This window comes from Homo sapiens, chromosome 2, assembly GCF_000001405.40.
Source record: "Homo sapiens chromosome 2, GRCh38.p14 Primary Assembly".
In the NCBI taxonomy this organism is placed as follows: Eukaryota; Metazoa; Chordata; class Mammalia; order Primates; family Hominidae; genus Homo; species Homo sapiens.
This window is the reverse complement of record NC_000002.12, coordinates 698911-724545: the sequence shown is the minus strand read 5'-3', so window position 1 is coordinate 724545 and position 25635 is coordinate 698911. Positions and strand designations below refer to the sequence as shown.

General features: G+C 41.1%; 1 long non-coding RNA gene across 1 annotated transcript in view, besides 2 other annotated features; it reads left to right on the top strand.

Moving 5' to 3' along the window:
• LOC105373358 (uncharacterized) overlaps positions 1-25635 on the top strand; it is a 34222-nt gene that overhangs the window by 6661 nt on the left and 1926 nt on the right. The window contains exon 2 of the long non-coding RNA XR_001739247.2: positions 10309-10474. This is a non-coding gene — a long non-coding RNA (uncharacterized LOC105373358). The remainder of the gene's footprint in view (positions 1-10308; positions 10475-25635) is intronic.
• Positions 3528-4028: an enhancer, noted in NCBI's record as "H3K4me1 hESC enhancer chr2:720518-721018 (GRCh37/hg19 assembly coordinates)". NCBI's record gives its function as "activates a minimal SCP1, AML or CMV promoter by ChIP-STARR-seq in primed H9 embryonic stem cells {active_cell/tissue: H9 hESC(primed)}" and the evidence as "EXISTENCE:reporter gene assay evidence [ECO:0000049][PMID:30033119]".
• Positions 18082-18161: an enhancer, noted in NCBI's record as "active region_15218". NCBI's record gives its function as "activates an Ori minimal core promoter by ATAC-STARR-seq in GM12878 lymphoblastoid cells {active_cell/tissue: GM12878}" and the evidence as "EXISTENCE:reporter gene assay evidence [ECO:0000049][PMID:35858748]".

The following is a 25635-nucleotide window of genomic DNA, read 5'->3' as shown; positions in this document are numbered from 1 at the left end:
ATGCCCCAATCCTCAGCCTGTAGGAGAATACAGATCAAACGGGCAATAAGCTGTGGCCACACATCTATCAGAGTGGCTAAAATTAAAAACATAAAATAGTGACAACATAGAACGCTGGTGAGGATGCAGAGACACTGGAGCACTCAGCAGGTCGGGGGAGGTGAAGTTGCAGAACCACGCTGGAAAGCATGAAATAATGATACAGCCCAGCTAGTGCATTTGGGAGCATTTGTTCTGAAGAAATGAAGACTCAAATTTCCAAAAAAGCCTGTAGAATCTCTGGGAAAATGTCCTAAGGGGCAGAAAATGTACAATGTCTTTATCTTTGTATCATCAATACAGAGACCAATGCCTTGAAGTGGTGTCTATGTAAATGCTTGCTACGTGAAAGACTCATTTACAAATAACAAGGAACAAGGGTGAAAGCCCTGAGGACCTGGATGTGCCGAGTGCTTCTGGTTTAATTCTCACAGCACCCTGGAAAGGTACTTACAGTCAAGTTCATGATAAAAATGAGGCCATTGGGGTAAAATAAAGCACCTTGCCTAATGCGACATAGTGACCATCTGCTCTGGAGTGAGCAGCTGGTCAGTGCAGCACTAACGCACCATCTCTTCCCAGTCCAGCACTCAGCCTCCACACCAGAAGGTCCTCAGAAATGAGGAAGGCAAATAGAAAGCAAGTGGTTCACTGCTAAGGAAAGTAAGTTATAAACAATATCAAACAAAGCGCTCAGACATGCGTAATTCTGGCACAAGGCTTAGGGTAAGGTGTGATGTTTCCCCATTGGGTTCGAAGAAACAGCACTCACTGGTTCCTCACTGACATCCTTCATTCTGATAATGCAGATTCCCTTCCTTGTGCTGCTGACTGCTCAATTTAGGAAGATCTCTTCCTTGATTTAGGAAGCTGTCAGTGCACACAAAGCAATCTTGTGTACTACTATGAATATGCCCAAAAGAACAGTGTGAGAAATAATAGGATCCTAATTATATGTTCTTTGGTAGATGGTGACACATAAATACAAAATCAGTCCCCATTTCCACCTGCCTATAGAATATATCCCTTCACTGATAACTGTTCTTCAGCAGTACCTAGGTTATTTAAGTACGAATATACTGCTACATATTGTTGATGATTTCTTATTGTTTTTGTTGCTTGTGCTTTGGGCATCATGTCTAAGACAGTAAGATATTATCCAATATCTCTGTTTTTTTTTTCTAAGCCTTTTATGGTTTTACCTCTTATTTCATGTCTTTGATCCATTTTGAGTTGTTTTGGTAGAAGGTGTGAGATACAGGTCTACTGTCATTCTTCTGCGTCTGGATAACTGGGTGTTCCAGCAGTATCTGTTGAAGAGACTGTTCACTGTCAGGGCCGTGCTGGCAACAAAAACAAACAATCAAATACAAATTTATCAAAACTAAAACCTTTTTGGTTTTTGCATCAAAGGACACCATTAGTAAAGTGAAAAGACAACCCACAGAATGGGAGAAAATGTTTGCAGATTGTGTATTTGAAGAGGGTCTAGTGTTCAAAATATATAAAAAGACTCCTGCAACTCAAAAATAAAAAGACAACCCAATTAACCAATGGGCCAAGGACTTGAATAGACATTTCTCTGAAGAAGATATACAAACAGTCAACAAGAACATGAAAATATGTTCAATGTTAAGGAAATACCAATCAAAACCACAGTGAGACACCATTTTACAACCACCAGGGTGGCAATAATAGTAATTATAATTATAATAATAAAAGTGAGGCCAGCTGCAATGGCTCCCGGCCCAGCCGCAGTGGCTCACACCTGTGATCCCAGCACTTTGGGAGGCCAAGGCAGGCGGATCACTTGAGGTCAGATACAACAGCAGCCTGGCCAACATGGCAAAACTCTGTCTCTACTAAACATACAAAATAAATAAATAAATAAATAAATAAATAATAAAAATTAGCTGGGCATGGTGGCAGGCACCTGTAATCCCAGCTACTCAAGATGCTGAGGCAGGAGAATTGCTTGAATCCAGGAGGCAGAGGTTGAAGTGAGCTGAGATCGCACCACTGCACTCCAGCCTGGACGACAGAGTGAGACTCCACCTTAAAAAAACTAATAAATAAAGCTGGACGCAGTGGCTCACACCTGTAATCCCAGCACTTTGGGAGGCTGAGTGGGGTGGATCATGAGGTCAGGAGATCGAGGCCATCCTGGCTAACATGCTGAAACCCCATCTCTACCAAAAATACAAAAAAATTAGCCAGGCGTGGTGGTGGGCACCTGTAGTCCCAGCTACTTGGGAGGCTGAGGCAGGAGAATGGCATGAACCTGGGAGGCGGAGCTTGCAGTGAGCCAAGATCGCGCCACTGCACTCTAGCCTGGGTGACAGAGTGAGACTCCATCTCAAAAATCATAATAATAATAAATAAAATAATAATAATAATAATAATAATAATAATAATAAAACTGTTGATGAGAAACAGGAGCCCTCGTACCTCACTGGCTGGAATGCAAAGTGACTCAGAGACTGGTAAACAGTGACGTGGTTCCTCAAAAAGTTAAACACAGAATTCCCATGTGACACAGTAATCCCACTTCTAGGTATATATCTAAGAGAAATGAAAACATATCTGCACAGAAAAATGTACCCAAATTATAGCCACGTTATTTATAATATCCAAATGGTAAAAGAACCCACACATTCATTAGTGGATGCATGAATGAATAATTAAGATACATATGTACAGAGGAATACTGTTCAGTTATAAAAAAGATTTAAATAGTATACCTGCCACAGAGTAAATGAACATCAGAAACATGGCAAGTGAAAGAGATCAGACACATCTCATTTGATGCTTTGCATATCTGCAGAGACAGAAAGAAGATAGTAGGTGCCGAGCCTGGAGGAGGCAAATGGAGTCACGGGTCCAGGGTGTGCTGGGCTGATGAAAACTCGTGAAACTCGAGGGAGATGGTGGCTGTAGGACACTGGACACTGTAAAGTGGATAATTGTGTCTTTTATGAACTCAATTTCAATTAAAAAAAACAAAAGAAGTGGCAAATGGTGAAAAGAATTTTCTGTGAGAAAAAGAAGTTGATGAATGTTATAAAGGCTCTGGTGTTTTTAAAAATAAGAATGGTAGAATGAATCAGTGCTTTCAATTATGTAAATGTGTACATGATTTAAAAGTAAACATTTAAAGATTAACCATTAACAGAGACAGACGTGGATGGAGACACAGGACACAGGTTTGGGGGAGAAGACCCTTCTTCCGGCGTGGTGGACTGTGCAAGGCTCTGATGTGTGGACACCAGAAGCTCCGTGGCTGGCTTCTCAGCCTCCACGTTCTCTTGTAGAGCAGCAGCATCTGTGAATTTTCACAAAGTGGAGCTCCTGAAAGAGACCGGGCAAATGGGAACTAAGGAGGAAAAAACGAAAGGCGGACACACTCAGTGACCTCTGGGGCAGGTGAGCGGTGGCCTCACCTGACACCCGCCCGCGGGGATGCACCCAGCATGAGGTAGGGAGCTCGGCGTCGTAAGCTCTGACTCTCAGATCAGTGGGCACTAGAACTACGAACGCTTATTCATTAGGAATAAAAGTGTCCCAAGCGGGACTTTCTCAGCTGAGAGAAATGCTCCGTGTCTTGATGGGAATGTGAGTTTGTCGGCGGCCGCGTTGCCAAAGTCACTGAGTCACGCACAGAAGCACTGAGCATCTCACTGCGTGTAAATTCTGTCTCCACAACTGAGCAAGGGCTGAACACTAGTCACCTGTTTTGTGCAGGGGAGTGAGTTAGCAATTCTGAAGCCATCTTGTTTAACACAGGGGAAGTATCTTGAGGGGAGTGGTCTGTCTCTGACTGCTGGGGAGGACGTGGACATGCGTGGACTACGTTACATCGGAGAAGTTTCAGCCTCCTAAACGCCTATCATCTGGCTCTGCCCACTGAGAGGGCCCAAGAGCATCGAGCTCGCCAAGGGTCCGGAGCTTGGTTTCCAAATCTCATTCTCCACTGACGAGAACCAGGGTCCCGGAGAAAGAGCCGAGTCCAAGACCGAGGCGGGGGAGCCTTGATGCCTTAGAGAGTGAGAAAGTCTTCAGAGAACGCTGGTGCGCGTTCAGAGACACTTAAACAGCTCAAAGAGGCTCCCATCAGCCAGAGCTGGGACCATTTTACAGCCAAACTGAGTGACCGTAGTAAAGTATTGTGATAATTAACACGATAAAAATCCATGAGTTTAGCCTGGTGTGGTGGCACCGTGGAGGCCAGAAGATCCCTTGAGCCCAGGAGTTTGAGGCCAGCCTGGGCATCCAGCCAGACCTGTCGCTACAAAAAGGAAAAACAAAAAAGACTCTATAAGTCTATACTGATATAATTGAAACAAATAAATAAGTGGTGTTAGTAAGTGACTGATTAAATAAATAAATGAAAAGGAAAAGTTTTCACTCACAGCAGAATGACAGCAAATAAATATAGAAGGAACGGGTGGTGAGTTTAGAAAATCATGAGTGAAAAGAAACAGGACAAAAAGTATCTTCCCACGAGTTACTCACTTATTAGTTACAAATGGAAATGTTATAACTTTGGTGGAGAAAACTGGCCAACAGCCCCTTAACCACGTGATCAAAGTCAGCATCAGCATGGAGGCAGGACCGCCTCGCCTGCACCGGGGTATTAACAGGAAGCCTGGAGAGGCCACTGGGGCTTCAGCGTGCTGCTGCTGCACAGACAACACCTGCATGGGACGTGGAGGAGGCATCAGCAAACCCAGATTGAGGGGGCTGGAAGAAATCACTGGGCTGAACTCGGAGTGTGTCAAGGTAGGAGAGATAAAGACCTCCCGAGGAGCTGCTCCAGGTGAGAGAGGGCGGCAGGTGCGACCACATAGCAGACGGCAGGTACAACCACACGTGCAGCAGGTGACCCTGCCCCGGGTCTTCTTCCAGGACTCTGAAAAGAGAAGCTGTCAAGGGTATTGTTGTGTTTTAATAAATTGGACACTAGATAATACAGTACTTAATTCAGTATATAGATAATGGATTTGATCATAGTATTGCATTACAATTAAATTTCCCAATACTGATAACTGTGCTCAGGCTGTCAGGAAATACACAATGAAGTATCTAAAAATTAGAGAACCACTATGTCCACAACTTACTATCAAATGGATCAGAAAAAGATAGATAGATAGATAGATAGATAGATAGATAGATAGATAGATGATTAGATAGATTAGATAGATAGATAATGTGATGGGGCAAAATGTACCAGTTGATGTGTCTGGGTAACACATTGTCTACAGTTGTAAAAATTATTCTTATAACATTTCCATAAGTTTGATATATCAAAATTTCAAAAATACAAATAATTTCATCCTCCAAAAATGGCAACAATAAATGAAGGAATGAATAAATCGAACTTGAGTAAAAGTTTACTTTTATTTATGAAAAGACATATGAGAGTGAGAAAGCAAGGCGATGTCTGTGTGCATGTGTGTTACAAAAGAGTTGTCCACGTAGCTCATAAATATATAAGCAGCTTTGCACCACCCATGGACATAGAAATTGGTGCAACCACTTTGGAAAAGTGTTTGGTGATATCTACAATGGAGAAACACACACACATACACACATACACACACATGCACTTGTGAGTTAGTAGTTCCACTACTCCCAATATAAATGACTGCTATGCCCACCAAAATACAGACACAAAAATGTTTATAGCAATTTTATTGATAAGAGCTAAAAAACTAGAAAGAATCTAACTGTTCAGCTGTAGTTAAATGGATAAATATGTTGCATAATGGAATATTATGTTGCAACAGAAAATATAACAAACTGATTACACTGCAAAACTATGAATCTCACTGCTATAATGTTGCTTGACAGAAGCCAGAAGCAAGATAATACATATGATAACATAAGATATGTATTCATATGAAATTCAAAATAGAAGTGAAATGAATCTTCAGAACAGGTTGTGGTGATGTTTGCTCCCAGGGCTGCTGGCTGGGAGGGAGCAGGGATCAGCCTTTGTGGTAGATGTGTTTAGTATCTATACCCAGGTAGTGTGCACACAGTTGTGTATATGGGGAAAATCCACTGAGCTTCATGTTTGAAATTTGTGGTCATTGCTTTATGTAAATGATACTTCAATATATAGAAAACTAAAATTAAAGATAAGGCATCCTTAATGTAATGCCATAGAATGGTGACACATAGAACAACTAGGGCATGATAACTATGTTTCATTAATTTTTCATATTTCTCTCATCATAATACATAATGATTTCATGGCATTTCATTTTATGCATATGCCATAACATTTTTGATAATTGCCTGTTCTTGAATATTTAGTTTATTTCTAATATTTCATTTCCAATAGTTTCTCTAAATAAACACTTGATCAATTGTCGCCTCTGTTACAAAATCTCACCGTACATGGTTTTTTTTTTTTTTTTTTTTGAGGCAAGGTCTCACTCTGTCAGCTAGGCTGGAGTGCAGTGGTGTGATCACAACTCACTGTAGCCTCGACCTCCTGGGTTCAAGCGATCCTCCCGCCTCAGCCTCCTGAGAAGCTGGGATGTCAGGAGCACGCCGCCATGCCTGGCTATTTTTTTCTTATTTTTGTAGAAACAGAGTCTCATTATGTTGCTTAGGTTGGCATGCTTATTCTTTTGGTAAAATGCCTGGTTGTTAAATTGCTGAGCACATGGTAGGAACCATGCTAAAGTTGTTCTAATGCATTCAAAATGTCTTCTATCAAAATTGTGTACTAATTTATGTTCCAGCATGACAGCCCCTGAAGCATTCTGATTATGGAGACTCTGTTCCTCTCCCCACCACACAAGCTCTTTTCATCTTCCACTTTTCAGTTTCCAGTATCACATGTGGGTCACTTACTTGGCCCACCCACATAGGTATTAATAATGTATTTATGGCCCCAACTTTTCCTAAAGGGCTCATATTTAATGTCCAACCACGTGGATGACGTTCACCAGCTGACACCGGAGGGGGTTGATGTTGACGCCTCTTATTTCTCTTCCTCCTCCTCATCCTCTTCCTTGTCTTGCCCCTTCGTGTTGCTATGGCAAAATAATATTCAAGGCAGTGTGACCTTGTGAAGTAACCAATATAATAAATCGGGCTGAAAAATCCAATCTAATTTATAGATGACCAATCAATGCACACATACTTTTCAAGCAAACATTTATAACTCTCTTCAATGAGAAAAGTTTTTTTGGCAAAAAAACCTTTGGCAAAAATTTAATAATGTTCATATTCACTTCATTTTCCTGAAGAAATAAAGGTCATAAGCATTCCCACAATATATCCCTGAGCCTACTGCTGGTAATAAATCAGTATTCTGGTAAGTCTCCAAACTTCTAAACCATAGAATAGACCAAGATTTAGGATTGAAAATAAGTTTTTCCATTGCATTTTGAAAAAAATAATTCACACGTGCAAGGATGGCATAGAAGGCCTTTGTGACAGAGCCACTGTTTAATCCCCAGCCTCATCTCCATGACCAGGGCCTGCTGCCCCTCCACCACCCAACACACCCACCCCAGCAGCCACTTCAGTGTCCTGGTGTCTTCTTGGGATGGTCTGCCCCTTCCACCCTCTATCCCACACCTGTCGCCTCTTCATTTGTAGAAGGAGTTATTTCAGGCCCCACCTAGAATAACCTTCTTCAGGAACCCCTTCCCACCCCAAGGCCTCCCCTCCTCCTCCCCTCATCCCCAGGGCTCACTGACCTCTGTGCAGCTGTCCCATCCCTGTCATCGTGGCTGTACTGTGGGGGCCCAGCCACGAAGTCAGCCTCACTGGCCCCACGGACCCTGCCGCTTCAGAGACCCTCACACGGAGGAGATTTGTCTCTAAAAAGACGTGGAGAGCTCCCTCCTGAAACTGCTTTTGAGCTGCCTCTAAGGAGCAATGTGACCTTGATCAAAGGGCTGCCTTGGCCTCTAGAAAGGAGGAGTGTGGAACTGAGGAGGCCTAAATCCCCTTCCCCGTGTCATGGTTTCCAAGGAGGACGAACAAGCTCCCCCCACACCCTTAACCCTGCTGCGTGTCCCCCACGCTGTACCTCGGTGTCACCACGTTTGAAAGACAGCGTAGATCTGCCTGCAATCACACAGGCTTCTGCTGACGCTGGCCTAAAAGTGATCACAGCGGCAGTCCCGACCCGATCCGCCGGCCCCAGCTTTCACAGCTTCAGCACTTGACGGCTTCACGAGGGATCCCATTAAGCTGTTGCTGCATGATAGATACCCAATATATTTTTACCAAATGAGTCAATTTGAATAATAATCTAGACTTGAGGTTAAATGAAAGCACAGAAAGGGTCAAGAATTATTAAAAGAACAGTTATCAAATGTTATAGAAATTCACCATTCAAGGAACGGGGGAGGTGGGAGAAAAGGTGCAGAATCCTTGTAAGTCTTTTTAGGACTGAAAGTCGAGAAAGCTAAAGTGAGGTGGTCATGCATCCATCTAGTGGCCAGGCTCAGTAACAGGAAAATTCCCCTCAGTCCCTACAGCAAGGTGATTCTCAGGGAAATCATTGGGTTCCTGAATCCCACGAATAATCAGTGATGGCTAGGTTATTTTTCTAATTATTGATTATTACAATAGTAACAAAAATTAGTTAATAGAGAATAAATCTAAGTAAGTTGAAAAGATATAAACAAATGATTAAAGGAAAATTATGCATTCCTTAATCGTGTTTTGAAATAAAAGCTAAAATAAAATACACCATGATCATTGTTCCCTATGGATTAATAGTTTATAATATATTTTACTCGGCTCACAAATGTGCCAAGCAAGACCGAGGAAGGCCAGACACTTTGCCTGAAGCCACACAGGAGCTTAAGGAACTCACGCAGGGTCAAGTAAAAAAGCAATGGAGCTGGGATCCAAAGCCAGAATTAGGCAACTTACACCACCAACTCGGGGGTTTGATGTAATAAGAGACGAGGTTAAGTTGAGTTTATTTATTATGCTTCACATGCTTCCAGCTGCATCTGAAAGGTGAGGGTGCATGGGATGGAAGAGGATCTAGCGGGTGGACGTGATCACAGCAGCTGCATCTGGAAGGCGAGGGTGCATGGGATGGAAGCAGATCTGGTGGGTGGAGGTGAGGACTACTGCAGCTGCATCTGGAAGGTGAGGGTGCATGAGATGGAAGATCTGGTGAGTGGACATGAGCATCCTGGGTATACTGAGTAAACTCAGCCAAGGATGCACTGCAGGAGGTGAGGAAGCTGACTGTGGTTTGGACGTGGTTTGCCATCTCCACCAAGTTCCATGTGAAACGTGATCCTCAATGTGTTAGTGTTTGGAGGTGGGGCCTGGTGGGAGGTGTTTACATCCTGGCAGGAGGTGTTTATGTCCTGGGACTGAATCCTTCTTTGTGAGGTATTGAGTGTGGCTTCACTCTCAGAGACTGGACTGGCTCCCACTGGAACTGTTGTTACAAGGTGCAGATTCTCCTTCTGCTTGGTCCTCTCCACATCTGTTCACTTCTCCTCTGACCTTCTCCATCATGTTATGACCCAGCTCAGAAACCCTCACAGGGAGCCAAGGCCAGGCCCTTGAACTTCTCAACCTGCAGAACAGTGAGCTAAATAAACATTTTTTCTTATAAATTACCCAGTCTCAGGTAATTCTCTTATAGTCACACAACAGGGAGATGGAACACGCCTGACGGGCCTGCCTCTGTGCCAGAGCAAGGTTTGGGCAGCTCGGGCCACCTGCACAGCCATGCAACCAGGGTCCCTTGAGCATGCAGGCAGGCCCTGAGGATGAAGTGTTGACAGAGACCAGCGACTTCTGTCTTTGGCCTTGAACAATTTCTCACCCTGGGTCCTCATTTCTTCTCTACAAATTCCCCTGGTACTGTGTTCACTTACTGCCCTGACCATGCTCCTCCAACCATTAAACCGCTACCCAGCTGGTTTCCCCTAAGCAATCTGGGGTTTATTCTCTGCTTTGCAGAATCCTTGATGTCCAGCGATGCTTCCGGTTCTCCTTCTTCTGGGCACCTGTTAAAACTGCACTCTTCTGCCCCCTTGAGGTTGTGCCGGGGCATTTGACTTGCCTTAGCCAGTGAAAAGTGAACTCTGCCATCGCTGGGAAGAAACCAGCAAGAGCCGAGTTCTTTGTCTCATCAGAGACACCAGACACGTTCTAGACCTTTGCAGTCCAGTATAGGAGACACCAGCCACATGTGGCTATTTAAATTTAAATTCATTAAAATGAAATAGAATTAAACATTCAGTTTCCCGGTTGCATTTGTCACAGGTCAAACGCTCAGAGCCATATGTGGCTCGAGGCTGCCATGTTGCACAGTGCAAATCCACAGAGCGTTTCATCCAATGGTATTGCCCTTGAAGGTGGGCATTCCACAGCCCGCGGCCCTGACGAGGGAAATGCACAGAGCCTCCTCCTGACCCGCAGCGCACATGTGGTAAGAAACAGAGCACACTTATTGTTAAAGAAACTAATATTTTGGAGTTTTTGTGTCAGTAGGACAATCTATTCTATCCTGTGTGTTGCAAGTTTCTCCCAAATTGCTAAAAAATAAAAGAGTAGCTCAAAGCCATACAAAAAAAAAGATAAAGAACATTGGCAAAGTAATCACATAGGTAAATATAAAAGCCAGCATCCACTGGGTATGGTGGCTCATGCCTGTAATCCCAGCACTTTGGGAGTCTGAGGTAGGTGGATCACAAGGTCAAGAGTTCAGCCTGGCCAAGATGGTGAAACCTGGTCTCTACTAAAAATACAAAAAATTAGCCAGGCGCGGTGGCAGGAGCCTGTAATCCCAGCTACTCAGGAGGCTGAGGCAGGAGAATCGCTTGAACTCAGAGGGCGGAGGTTGCAGTGAGCTGAGATCGCACCACTGCACTCCAGCCTGGGCGACAGAGTGAGACTCCGTCTCAAAAAAAAAAAAAAAAAAAGCCGGCATCATTGTATTTTTGTTTGTAACTCCCTTTTTCCTTTCCTACATAACTTGAAAGGCATAGGTGAGAGTTTTAGAGACTGGAGAAGCAGCTGTACATTCTGGACCCTCAGTGATACAGGTGACCAGAGTGTGGAGATGAACTAGACGTGGCTCCATCGCAACCCAAAGCCACGTGATGCTTTGTAAAAATGTTTCTCTGGAATTAAGTTTCAAAATATAAAGCAAGAATTGTCCAGAGCCGGCACCATTTACACATGTACCTCTTTCCACCATGATCTTGTCTGTCCAGCTATTACTAAAACCAGGGAGGGGATAAAACAATAACTGTAATTGCTGTTAACTTGGTGCACGCCACACAAGGGCATCCTTTGTGACAGCAACATCAGGCTCTAGAGCTGTGTAGGAGCAGAGTCTGTATGTTCCAGAAGCTATGCTGGATCAATTCAAAATAGATCGCTGTAAGATTAGAATGTTACTTGTAATGTCAAAGGTAAGCATAAAGAAAATAACTAAAAAGTGTATACAGACGAGAAATTAGTCAAGGATCAAAGGAGTAGAGTACGTCAATCAAATACAAAATAAGGCTGTATAAGGGGAATCGTGAACAACAAAGACTTGAAAACAAATAGAAAAATGGCAGAAGATCCTTCTTGTAGTTAATTACTTTAAACATAGAAGCATCAAACTCACTGGCTAAGGTATAAACTTGGCAAAATTTTTAAAATGACCTAGTAATCACAAGATTTGCTTTAGAGCCAAAGGAATAGGTAGGGTGAGGGGGATGGCAGAGAAGTCGTCCTGCAGGAAGATATGGAGAAGGAGCTGGGGTGCCGCACCAGGACCAGAAAAACAGACTTTAAGTCAAAAAGGGTCATAAGAGATGAAGAATAATTGATAAAAGAGTTTATTGATCTAGAAGATAGAAAAATTACAAGCAAATATACATCAAACAGAAAAACCCCACACTATATGAAGAAAACATTGACAGAATGGAAAGGAGAGTTCATAAAAATGTCAATATTCACTTCAGTAGTGACAAGAACAATATTCAGAGGAGTGATAATGACCTAGATGACGCCCGCAGAAAACCCCACCCACCAACAGCTGAACCGACATTCATCTCAAGCGCACACGGAACATTCTCCAGCATAGAAGAGATGTTAATCTGTGAAACAAGCCTCGACAAATGTAAAAAGACTGAATTCATACAAAGCCTTGTCTCTGATCACCAATAGAATGAAGAAATCAAAAAATTAAGCAACACACTCCTCAGCAACTAATTTGTAAAGGAAAAAAAATTGCAAAGGAAATTAGAAAATACTTTGGGATAAATACAAACAAAACCAAGGTTTACCAAAACTTATGATCTGAAAAGAAAGCAACCTTCAAAGGGAGATTTATAGGTAAAAAGGCCTGAAGTAAAAAAAAAAAATAAAAATAAAAGATCTCAATTGATAGCCTAACCTTACTAGAAAAAGAAGAGCAAACTAAACCCAAAGCTAGCAGAGGTGCGGAGATGCTGAAGGTTAAAATGCTGATCATCATAGTAGATGAGAGGAAAAAAAATAGAATCAACAAAACCAAAGATTACATTTTTTTGAATAAACAAAATTATCAAACCCTTAGCTCATTGACTAAAAAAGGAGAGATGCTGTAAATAGCCAAATACAGAAATAAAAGTGGGTACATTACTACCACCCTTTCAGATGTTGAAAGGATCATAAGAGAATGCTGGAAACAGTTGTATGCCAACAAATTAGGTGTCCTGGGGAAATGGAAAGAGTTCTGGGGACAGAAATTACCAAGCCCAACTCAAGAAGAAATACAAATCTGAACAGACCTATAAGGAGTAAAGAAATCGATTCAGTCTTCAAAAATTCCTCAATAAACAAAAGGCCAGGACCAGATGGTTTTATTGGCTAGTTCTAGAAAACATTGAAATAATTAATACCAATCCTCAAACAAAGTAATCTCCTTCCAAAATACACGCAAGGAGAGAACACTTCCTAACCCATCTTGTGAAGCCATCATTACCCCAACACCAAAGCCAGACAAGACACAACAGGAAAAGAAAACTGCCAACCAGTGTCTCTTATGAATGTAAACACTCGGAAACTCTACAACAAAGGCAGCAACCCAAGTTCAACAACATGTTAAAGGGATTTTACACCCTGCACAAGTGCGACAGATGCCAGAAATGCAAGTGTGGTTCAGCCTCAGAAAATCGATGAATGTAACACATTACATTAAGAAAAGAAGGAAAAAATTATCTTGATGCAGAAAAAACATTTGACAAAATTCAATATTATAAAAACACTCAGCTAACCACGGGGAAGGAGGTCTCTCTTCCTTGGCCCAAAAATGTCCTTTTGGGGCTGTGAAAGTATAGATACAACCACCTGGGACACAAGCTGATAGTTGCTGAAGCTGGAGTTAAACACACAGGAGTTCACTATGCTTCTGTCTACTCCCATGTTCTTGAAATTTTCTGTCATAAATGCTTACATCATCACTTGTAAAAGGTACATTACTTTGACTACTTTCATCAGAATAACAGGTCTTTATATTCTCAGTATACCTAAATCATCACAGGACAAATTTGCCTTCCATTCTATGTCATGTCATTTAGCAAAATGTACATTAAGTGCCAGTCTTTGGGCTAATGCATAAGCAATGTGTGAGAACACTGTCTTAGTGAATTTGAGCTTCTCTAAGAAAATTCCATAAACGTGGTGGCCTCTAATAACAGAAACCTATTCTCCCAGTTCTGGAGGCTGGAGGTTCGAGATCGAGATGGTGGTGGATCTGCTGTCAGGTGAGGGCTGCTTTCCAGTTCCCGGACGGTGCCTTTTTCCTGTGTCCTCACACAGCAGAAGGGACAGGGGAGCTCTCTGGGTCCCTTTCATAAGGGCACTAATCTTATCATGATGATTCATGAGGCTCCACCAGCAAAACCTCATCACCTCCTAAAGCTCCCACCTCCTAATACCATCACTTTGGCCATTAGGTTTCCAACTGTGGATTTGGGGGACACGTTCAGTCTATGGCAGGTACACATGGAGATGATTCTTGAATCTGAGCTTCAATCTATTAGGGTAGAAAAAAAGCAATGAAAATATGATATAAAATATACTTCATACACACACACAAACTTTCATACCCAGTAAGACAGCTAATATTTAAAAATGTACAGACAAAACATATAATGACAAGCGTTTGTTGGGTTGTGGAGGAATCAGAACAATTAAGCATTCATGGTAGAAATATAATACTGTGCAGTCACCAAGAGAACTGTGTAAAGAGGAATATAATATAGTCCAGTCACTGTAGAGAGTTGTATGGAGAGGAATATAACATAGTTGGTCACTGCTGGGAACTGTATGGAGGGGAATATAATATAGTGTGTTCACTGTAGGGAACTCTGTGGAGAGGAATATAATATAGTGTGGTCACTATAGGAAACTGTATGGAGAGGAATATAATATAGTTGGTCACTGTAGAGAACTGTATGGAGAGGAGTATAATATAGTTGGTCACTGTAGGGAATTGTATGGAGAGGAATATAATATAGTTAGTCACTGTGGAGAACTGTATGGAGAGAAATATAATATAGTTGGTCACTGTAAGGAACTGTATAGGGAGGAATATAATATAGTTGGTCACTGTGGAGAACTGTATGGAGAGGAATATAATATAATGTGGTCACTGTAGGAAACTGTATGGAGAGGAATATAATATAGTTGGTCACGGTAGGAAACTGTATGGAGAGGAATATAATATAGTTGGTCACTGTAGAGAACTGTGTGAAGACTCAAAAAACTAAACAGAATTACCATATGATCAGCAATTCCACTTTTGGGTATATTCCAACAAATAGCAATGGAAACCAAAGGCTGGGATTCAGATAGGAGGGATCCGTGCACCACTGCTTCTGGCAGCACCACGCAGAGTAGTGGAAATGTGGCATCAACCCAGGAGCCATCGCTGGATGAACGGGTAAACACGGTGTGGGGCGCACAGATGGTGAAATGTTATCCAGCCTTAAAAAGCACGGAAATGCTGGCACATGCTTCCACATGGATTCAACCCAAAAACATCGAAAACATTATGCCAAGTCACAAAAAGACAAACGCTGCAGGATTTCACTTCTGCGAGGAATCTACAGCAGTGAAGTTTCTAGAGACTGAGGGTAAAGCGAGGGCTTCCGGGCTGGGGGGTGGGCAGGGGGCGCTGTCGTTTAACTCGTTTAATGGGTGCGGAGTTTCCGGGGAAGAAGAAGGTGGAAGGTTCTGGAGATGGAAGAGGTGTCCGCGGTACCACAGCGTGAATGTGGTTATTGTCACTGAACGGTGCACTTCAAAATTGTTAAAATGGCAAGTGTTGTGTGTATTTTACACGACAGTGTGTATAAAAATACAGCGTGGAATCTGCTGATGGTAAAGGAATGCCCAGGGCTGCACGGGAAGGAGGAACATGAAGACGCCTCAGAACAAACAGTGCCACTGAGATAACACAGCAGGAGGGCCAGCGCCGTCTGTTAGAAAGACCGAGTCAGGAAGGGAGGAAAGAGGGATTTCCATCCAGAGCCACGACACACAGCCCCGTATCTCTCCAGCGGGGCTCAGCCACGGGCGGGGCGAGGCCAGAGGTGCTGTCTCCATTCCAGGCTTTGCTCAGGGGACATGGCCCTGTCTTGCTCTGTGGGTTCCCTGCACCGTCTCCCCTCAAATCCCCCAGCCCGTGGCTCATCACCTCAACTTGGCTTTCGGCACCGTGCCAGGCGCTGCTTATGCTGTGGTCGTTCCCACCCGTGATTTGCAGTTAGCAAACGCTGACTGGCCTCTCCCCATCACCCTGGAGGAGGCTTGGAGATTCCTGCCTGCCCGGGAAACCAGGAGCAGCTCTCAGGCAGGACTCGGAGCTCAGTCCGGGTTTTTCCTTTGCGGCCTGGTTTGCGTGTGAGACGCGTGTGTGCACCCACTCAGGGCTCACAGTGTGCACCCACCCACTCAGGGCTAATGCAGGCTCTGCGTGGGGGACCCAGACGAGGAAGCTCTTCCCCGGAGGACTCCCATTGTTCCTACAAGATAACAGAAGCCCCTAAGCTGCAAAAGTGAGATTCAAGGCCAGGTCAGAATGAGTTTAAATGATGTCCTTTCCACCACTAGTTTTCAAGAACTGAGCATTCTGTGATCCATGAATGAACAGCTTGTAATACAGGCACGTAAATATTTGGGCCTGTTGAAGGGACCCGCACCTTAAGCGTATGTATCTATGCATACACATATCTTTAACGGGATGATTAATGCTCTAGTTATCAGGCATGAAATAGCCTTAGATTTTGTGTTTTCATCAGCATTTTAGAAACTTTATGTTGTATTTATCATTAGAAATCATGATGCCAAACTATCCTTATGAAATGAACTATCCTTTTGAAATCTAATTACTATTTGTCAAATTGCTTCAGCAACACTGAAGATGTAATTATTAGAATCACATATTGGAAAAAATATGTGATTGCAAAGAGATAGGACAAAGGGTTGCTGAGGTAGCTGAAGGCAGAAAGGTCACTGCTGTTTTCTCAAGTCTTGCCCATAGACTGAAAATGTTGGAAAAGAACACATTTCATTCTGGCTAGTATCAGCCGACATCCTGATGTCAGGAGAAATACGCTTTTAAGTTTGATGCTATTTAGCTTTTCAGCAGACAAACTCCTTCAAAAGCATTCGAAGGTTCAGCACACGTACTGAATTTTAGATACCTCTCAAAACTGTCTGAAAAATAAATCTGTTTTTCTATGATAAGATTCAGCTGGTGATTTGTTAAACAATGTTTCAGGGGCTGAATTTCTGCCACATTAAACATGATGTTTCCCTTGTTATCTAAAATGTCTTTAAGAAATTCCACTATCAGTTTATAAATTTCTCAGCTAGGCCATTGAATGAATCAGAGAAATTAAATGATCCTTCACTCTGTTGAGAAAAGAAAACCTTTGGGTACGATTGAGTTCAGAAAGTATCTGTCTCCTCAAATTTTCTTCTAAATATGTTTTGAAAAAGTAAAAATGTAGCATGAAAGAGCTAATGTAAAAATAAAGATAAATAAAATGTAAGAAAATTTATATTTTCTGCATGGAAAAATAACTGATTTTAATTGACAGTGAAGATGGAAGAACAAGATGAAAATTATCCCGGTAGTGAATTAGAAATTAGTAGATAGGAGCTGTGCATTCTAGAACACGGCCAAGTGATCAGGAGACCAGGTCTGGACAGGAGGCTTCCACAGCAATGGGAGTGACTTTCAGGGGTGCATTTCGGCGGAGCGGAGCAAGCAGAAGTCACTGCAGTGACCCCAGGAGAGGGAGGGGAGAAGATTACATCCGTGGGGTGAAGCCTGCAGAACCCAACTTTCTAAATGAGGGAAGTACATTCTGCCGTTGTCATGATGGGAAAAATCCATTAACTCATGATTTATTATCTACTTATTTATTTACTTAGTTATTCAGCAACTGTGCTGAATACTTGCTATGTCCCAGGGATACAATATTGGCCAAGTCATTAAGTCCAACAATAACAGCATTTACAGTCCAGTAAAGAGAGAAACAAAAAAATGAACAAGTGTATAAATACAGTAACTGCATGCTGGGAAGTGCTGAGGTTTGCACACTGTGGTGGACAGTGGCCCTGGCACGAGAGGGGCTCACGGAGACTCACCCAAGTCTGTGGGTCGAGGGTGGGGACCAAGAGCTGAGTGGCCGTGGGACCACCAGGTGCATACGCCAGCTCTGGGCTGCAGAGCAGAGGTCTGGTTGAAGATAGAAATCTGTGCACAAAGGTGGTAATTGAAGAGAAGGGCCTGGATGAGGTTACCAGAGAAGAAAGTTCAGAAGGGAAAAGGTACTAGAGGGAGTGCTGAGAAGTTCCAGTTCTGACCAGGTGAGCCCTGTGCGCTGGGTAAGCAAACAGAGGGCCTGGAAGGCAAGAGAAGGCCTGGGAAGTAAATACCACAAAACCAAGAGTGGGAAGGAGGAGGCTTCCTCGAAAGGCCGAGTGCCCCTGCACGGTGGATTCAGCTGAGTGTCACAACTGCATGATGACCATGGAGGCCTCAAAACCTTGGAGATTCGGGAGTGAAGTGATAGAGGCAGAAGCAAGGAAGCCAGGAAATTCCCCAAACAGATTTATATTTCACTCCTCACCCCCTCCCGTTGTCACCCACAGACCTTCAGGTGGGCCTCCCACATGCTCACTGCGGTCACTGCGCTCTCTTGGGTTGGTTCTCACTCTGTATCAAGCCAGGTGGAATCCTTGCTTGGTTTCAGGGAAATACAGCTCTTTTCTGTGTTTATTCTCTCAACCTCAAACCACAGGGAATAATTACTGCAATTTCACTTTAATGCCACCTCATACCAAAAGCTTTCTCTATGTGTATGACTATTGGTTGGGTATCCATCTAGCAGTAGAAACTCTAGGTGATATGTGTATGTTGGGATTCAAGAGAGAATGGCAGAGTTTCACGGAGAAATGACTCAGCTGACGCTCTCAGCGTCAAAGCAGCAGGCTTTGATAGTGCAAGTTGCTCACACCCTCACCTGCACTTCCTGTGGTCAATATTAACAGAGCATTTCTGGTGGAATGTAATTTTGTTTCATTTTGGTTCAATTGTCATTCTCCTAATGGTCAATGAGATTGAACAACTTTTCATTTATTCATTGGTTATTTGGAGACATCCTTTGGTGAGTTGTCTGTTCATGCTTTTTGCCCTTTTATTGACAATCTTTCTTTATTAATTTATAAATATTACTGTTATTATCACTACAATGATTCCCTTGATAGTCATGGATATTGCAGATGTTTTCTTTTCGTCGGTGACTTTTTAAACAAACAACCTTAGTGGTGTCTTTGATCAATACAAGTTCCTTTTTCTTTATAGCCAAAGCTGTTTAATCCAATTTAAGATTTTTCCCTCCTACTCTAATAACATAAGAGAGTATCTTTCATTATCTTCTGGTAGCGTGATAGTTTTACATCTCACATTTAGATCTACAGTCCATCTAGATTTTATTTCACTGTGTACTTCCATTTGATCCAGCAGCACTCACCCAAAAGCCTTTCCTTTTTCATTGCACAGTGCCAGCTCTGTATTATTTATTTATGTATGTATTTTTCCATAGGTTCTTGGGGTACATGTGGTATTTGGTTATGTAAGTAAGTTCTTTAGTGATGGTTTGTGAGATTTTGGTGCACCCATCACCCGAGCAGTATACACTGCACTCTATTTGTAGTCTTTTATCCCTCATCCCCTTCCCATTCTTCCCCCAAAGTCTCCAAAGTTCATTGTATCATTCTTATACGTTTGAGTCCTCATAGCTTAGTTCCCACATATCAGTGAGAACATATGATGTTTAGTTTTCCATCCTTGAGTTACTTCACTTACAATAATAGTCTTTGATCTCATCCAGATTGCTGCAGATCCCATTAATTCTTTCCTTTTTATGGCTAAATAGTATTCCATTATATATATATATACCACAATTTCTTTATCCACTCATTGATGGATGGGCATTTGGGTTGGTCCCATGATTTTGCAATTGCAAATTGTGCTGCTATAAAATGTGTTTGCAAGTATCTTTTTGGTATAATGACTTCTTTTCCTCTGGGTAGATACCCAGTAATGGGATTGCTGGATCAAATGGTAGTTCTACTTTTAGTTCTTTAAGGAATCTCCACACTGTTTTCCACAGCGGCTGTACTGTTTTACATTCCCACCAGCAGTGTGGAGGTGTTTCCTAATCACCACATCCATGCCAACATCTGTGTGTTTTAATTTTTTGATTATGTCCATTCTTGCAGGAGTAAGGTGGTATCGCATTGTGGTTTTGATTTGCATTTCCCTGATCGTTAGTGATGTTGAGCATTTTTTCATGGGTTTGTTGGCCATTTGTACATCTTCTTTTGAGAACTGTCTATTCATGTCCTTAGCCCACTTTTTTATTTTTCAAAATTTCAGAAACGACTTATTTATGTATTTATTTTTATTTGACTTTAAGTTCTGGGATACATGTGCAGAACGTGCACATTTGTTAGATAGGTATACATGTGCCATGGTGGTTTGCTGCACCTATCAACCTGTCATCTAGGCTTTAAGCCCTGCATGCATTAGGTATTTGTCCTAATGCTCTCCCTCCTCTTGCCTCCCACCCTCCAACAGACCCTGGTGTGTGATGTTCTCCTCCCTGTGTCCATGTGTTCTCACTGTTCAACTCACACTTATGAGTGAGAACATGCAGTGTTTGGTTTTCTGTTCCTGTGTTAGTTTGCTGAGGATAATGGCTTCTAGCTTCACTCATGTCCCTGCAAAAGACATGAATTCATCCTTTTTAATGGCTGCATAGTATTCCCTGGTGTATATGTGTCACATTTTCTTTATCCAGTCTATCAATGATAGACATTTGGGTTAGTTCCAAGTCTTTGCTATTGTGAATAGTGCTGCAATAAACATACGTGTGCATGTGTCTTTATATTAGAATGATTTATAATCCTTTGGGTATATACCCAGTAATGGGATTGCTGGGTCAAATGGTATTTCTGGTTCTAGATCCTTGAGGAATCGCCACACTGTCTTCCACAGTGGTTGAACTAATTTACACTCCCACCAACAGTGTAAAAGCATTCCTATTTCTCCACAGTCTTGACAGCATCTGTTGATTCCTATCTTTTTAATGATCATAATGATCGCCATTCTAACTGGTGTGAGATGATATCTCATTGTGGTTTTGATTTGGATTTCTCTAATAGCCCCCCCGCCTTTTTTTTTTTTTTTTTTTTTTGAGACAGAGTCTTGCTCTGTCACCCAGGCTTCTGGAGTGCAGTGGTGCCATCTCAGCTCACTGCAACCTCCACCTCCTGGGTTCAAGCGATTCCCCTGTCTCAGCCTCCCGAGTAGCTGGGACTACAGGTGCACACCACTGCGCCTGGCTAATTTTTGTAGGGAAAAGAAAGAGAGATCAGACTGTCACTGTGTCTATGTAGAAAGGAAAGACATAAGAGACTCCATTTTGAAAAAGACCTGTACTTTAAACAGTTGCTTTGCTGAGATGTTAATTTGTAGCTTTCCCCAGCCACTTTGACCCAGCCACTTTGACCCAGCAACTTTGACCCAACCTGGAGCTCACAAAAACATGTGTTGTATAAAATCAAGGTTTAAGGGACCTAGGGCTGTGTAGGACGTGCCTTGTTAACAAAATACTTACAAGCAGTATACTTGCTAAAGGTCATTGCCATTCTCTAGTCTCAATAAGCCAGGGGCACAATGCACTGTGGAAAGCCGCAGGGACCTCTGTCCTTGAAAGCGGGGTATTGTCCAAGGTTTCTCCCCATGTGATAGTCTGAAATATGGCTTCGTGGGATGAGAAAGACCTGACTGTCCCCCAGCCTGACACCCGTAAAGGGTCTGTGCTGAGGTGGATTAATAAAAGAGGAAAGCCTCTTGCAGTTGTGATGGAGGAAGGCCACTGTCTCCTGCCTGCGCCTGGGAACCGAATGTCTCGGTGTAAAACTCGATTGTACATTTGTTCAACTCTGAGATAGGAGAAAAGCTGCCCTGTGGCGGGAGGCGAGACATGTTTACAGTAATACTGCCTTGTTATTCTTTACTCCCCTGAGATGTTTGGGTGGAGAGAAACATAAATCTGGCCTAAGTGCACGTCCAGGCATAGTACTTTCCCTTGAACTTAATCATGATATAGATTCTTTTGCTCACATGTAATTTGTTGACCTTCTCCTTATTATCACCCTGCTCTCCTACTACATTCCTTTTTGCTGAAATAATGAAAATAATAATCAATAAAAACTAAGGGAACTCAGAGGCCGGTGCCGGTGCAGGTCCTTGGTGTACCTAGTGCCGGTCTCCTGGGCCCACTATTGTTTCTTTATACTTTGTCTCTGTGTCTTATTTCTTTTCTCAGTCTCTCGTCCCACCAGACTAGAAATACCCACAGGTGTGGAGGGGCAGGCCACCCCTTCAATTTTTTTTGTATTTTTAGTAGAGACGGGGTTTCACTATGTTGGCCAGGCTGGTCTCAAACTTCTGACCTCAAATGATCCACCTGCCTCTGCCTCCCAAAGTGCTAGGATTACAGGCATGAGCCACTGCGCCCAGCCAATAGCCCACTTTTAGATGGAATTGTTTGTTTTTTTCTTACTGATTTGAGTTCGTTGTAGATTATGGATATTAGTCCTTTGTCAGATGTATAGATTGTGAAGATTTTCTTCCACTCTGTGGGCTGTCTATTGACTCTGCTGACTCTTCCTTTTGCTGTGCAAAAGCTCTTTAGTAGTGAAATCCCAAGTATTTATCTTTATTTTTATTGCATTTACTTTTGGGTTCTTGATCATGAAATCCTTGCCTAAGCCAATGTCTAGAAGGATTTTTCCAATATTCTAGAATTTTTATAGTTTCAGTCTTATATTTAGTTTCAGGTCTTTATATTTCCCCACTTTATGTTTTTGTTTTCTTTGTCAAAGATCAGTTGACTGTAAGTATCTGGGTTTATTTCTAGGTTCTCTATTCTGTTCCATTGGTCTATGTGCCTATTTTTATACCAGTACCATGCTGTTTCGGAGACTATGGCCTTATAGTATAGTTTGAAATCAGGTAGTGTGACGCCTCCAGATTTGTTCTTTTTGCTTAGTATTGCTTTGGCTATGTGGGCTCTTTTTGGTACCAAATGAATTTTAAAATTGTTTTTTCTAATTCTGTGAAGAATGATGTTGGTATTTTGGTGGGGATTGCATTGAATTTGTAGATTGCTTTTGGCAGTGTGGTCAAAGACCTCTACCAGGAAAACTACAAAACACTGCTGAAAGAAATCATAGATGACACAAACAAATTGAAACACATCCCATTCTCATGGATGGATAGAATAAATATTGTGAAAATGGCCAGCTTTGTTTTAGATGAAGTTTCCCAGTGTGCTTTCTTTTCTCCTGACTCTTCATCGATCTGTTTTTAATCCCTTTCACTAGTGCCACACTGTCTTAAGAACTTAGTTTTCCAATAAAACTTGATATTGGGCAATGTATGTTCTTATCTTTGCTCTTCCTCAAAATTTTTTGCTATTCTTGTTTCTTTCTGTTTCTACATAAATCTTATATTAGCATGTCTGTCATCAACACACACATAAAAATAGCCAACTGGAATATAGGGAGAATTTTTACTCTCACAATAATGCTTCCTCCAATCTGAGAAAATAGTATATTTTTTTCATTTGTTTAGGTTGTCACCCACTTTTCTCAATAACCTTTTTATAATTTTGGTATAGAGGTCTTACACATATTTAGATAGATTGTTTTCTAGATATTTGATAACTTTGGATACTATGGTAAATAGCATGATTAAATTTTTTTATATTAAGTGCTAGAAAATAAAATGGTTTTTGTATAGTGACATTGTATTCAGCAAGCCTAACTTAACCTGTTAAATTTGATAATTTATAAAAAATTACTTTTATAACCATGTGTTATCTGTAAATGAAGACACATGTATTTCTTTACTTAAAACATTTTACCATGTATTTACATGACTTATTTCACTGTCAAGAAACTCCTATAAAATGTTGACTAAAATTGTTAATAATAAATATCTTTTTCTTATTCCTGATCTGAAGATAGAAGCTTTTAATATATTAATAATATTGGATCTAAGATTTGTTTTTGGCTCTGGTGATACCATTTATCAGAGAAAGAAGGTAATTTTTATAGCAAATTTTTGTAAGGTATTTAAAAATAATTAATAAATATTGAATTTTATCAAATGTTTTTGTCATTTACCTAGATAATTTTTACTTTATTTTCTTAATATATAAAAATACATTAATATAAACTCAGTTTTTATATTTATCTATTTTATATATCAAGGACCCCATTTTACTTATATTTGTTTGTCATATTTGAATCCACATTTAAGACATAAATTGTCCAGTAATCCATATTGTCAGATTTGTGAATAAAGGTAATACTGGTATCATAAAACCCATTACAATGAATTCTATATTTTTCATTTTACCATGAAGAATTGACATAGTCTTGGGTTATTATTATTATTATTATTATACTTTAAGTTCTGGGATACATGTGCAGAACGTGCAGGTTTGTTACATAGGTATACACGTCATAGTGGTTTGCTGCACCCATCAACCTGTCATCTACATTAGGTATTTCTCCTAATGCTATCCCTCCCCTAGCCCCTTACTCCCTGATAGGCCCTGGTATGTGATGTTCCCCTCCCTGTGCCCATGTGTTCTCATGTTCTCATTGTTCAACTCCCACTTACGAGTGAAACCATGTGGTGTCTGGATTTCTGTTTCTGTGTTAGTTTGCTGAGAATGATGGTTTCCAGCTTCATCCATGTCCCTACAAAGGACATGAACTCATTCTTTTTTATGGCTGCATAGTATTCCATGGTATATATGTGTCATTTTTTCTTTATCCAGAAATACCATTTGACCCAGCAATCCCCTTACTGAGTATATACCCAAAGGTTTATAAATCATTCTACTGTAAAGACACATTCACATGTATGCTTATTGCAGCACTTTTCACAATAGCAGAGATTTGGAACCAACCCAAGTGCCTGTCAGTGATAGTCTTGGTTATTTATTTAGTAAAAGTTTGGAAGAATTTATCAATGAAGCCATCTGACACATGAGTCTATATTGCACTAAGGTTTTAATAACAGCTTCTGTGTCTTTAAGAGCTAGATATCTATTCAAATTTTCTATTTATTCTTGTATAATTTTGATGTGTGGTGCCTATCTAGGAAATTGTTTTATTCAAATTTAAATATATTGACATAAATTTATTCATTGTTTCCTCTTATGGTAGTTTCTATTTTGCTTGCTGGTAACCACTTTATATTCCTCATATTGGCAATTGAGGAATACAATGGAAAGAAGTGCATATTTTATACTTTATTTAAGAAGAAGTCTCTAGGGAAGCCCCAAGACAATATGGGACAAAAACAAAAGCACAAGAGAAATATGAAGCATCTGGTGTATATAGTTAGAAAAAAAATAAACACAACTCAAATCCTAGCCAGATTAACAAAGAATCACACAGTAAAGACATTTTTGCCTCAGTTTCTATTATCTGATAATTATATCTGGCTTTTGACAAGATAAAATACTATGTGATAAGCTAGAAAGTAAGAAAAAATAGTCTAAAGAGACAAACATGAAAATGAACTCAGATATTGCATGGATTTTAGAAGTATTAGATAGAGTATTTAAAGTATTTAAAGTATTTTAAAGAGTATTTAAAGTATTTAAAGTATTTAAAGGCTCTCATAGAAAAAGAAGGCAATACTCAAAATTGGATGGACAATGTAATCAAAGAGATAAAAATACTAAGAAAGAATAAAAAGGAAAGGCTACAAATCGAAACACTCTAATAGGAAATAATGAATGTTGTTGATGGGCTCATCAGTGGAATGGATTCTGCCAAGAGTCAGTGACTTAAAAATATGTCAATAGGAACTTCACAATAAAAATGACTGAAAATTTTAAAACAATAGGAATTCGAGAACTGTAGAAAAATTTCAAAAGTTATACGTAACATATGCACAGGGGATGGAAAAAGATGCACAGGGGATGGATTCATACTAAT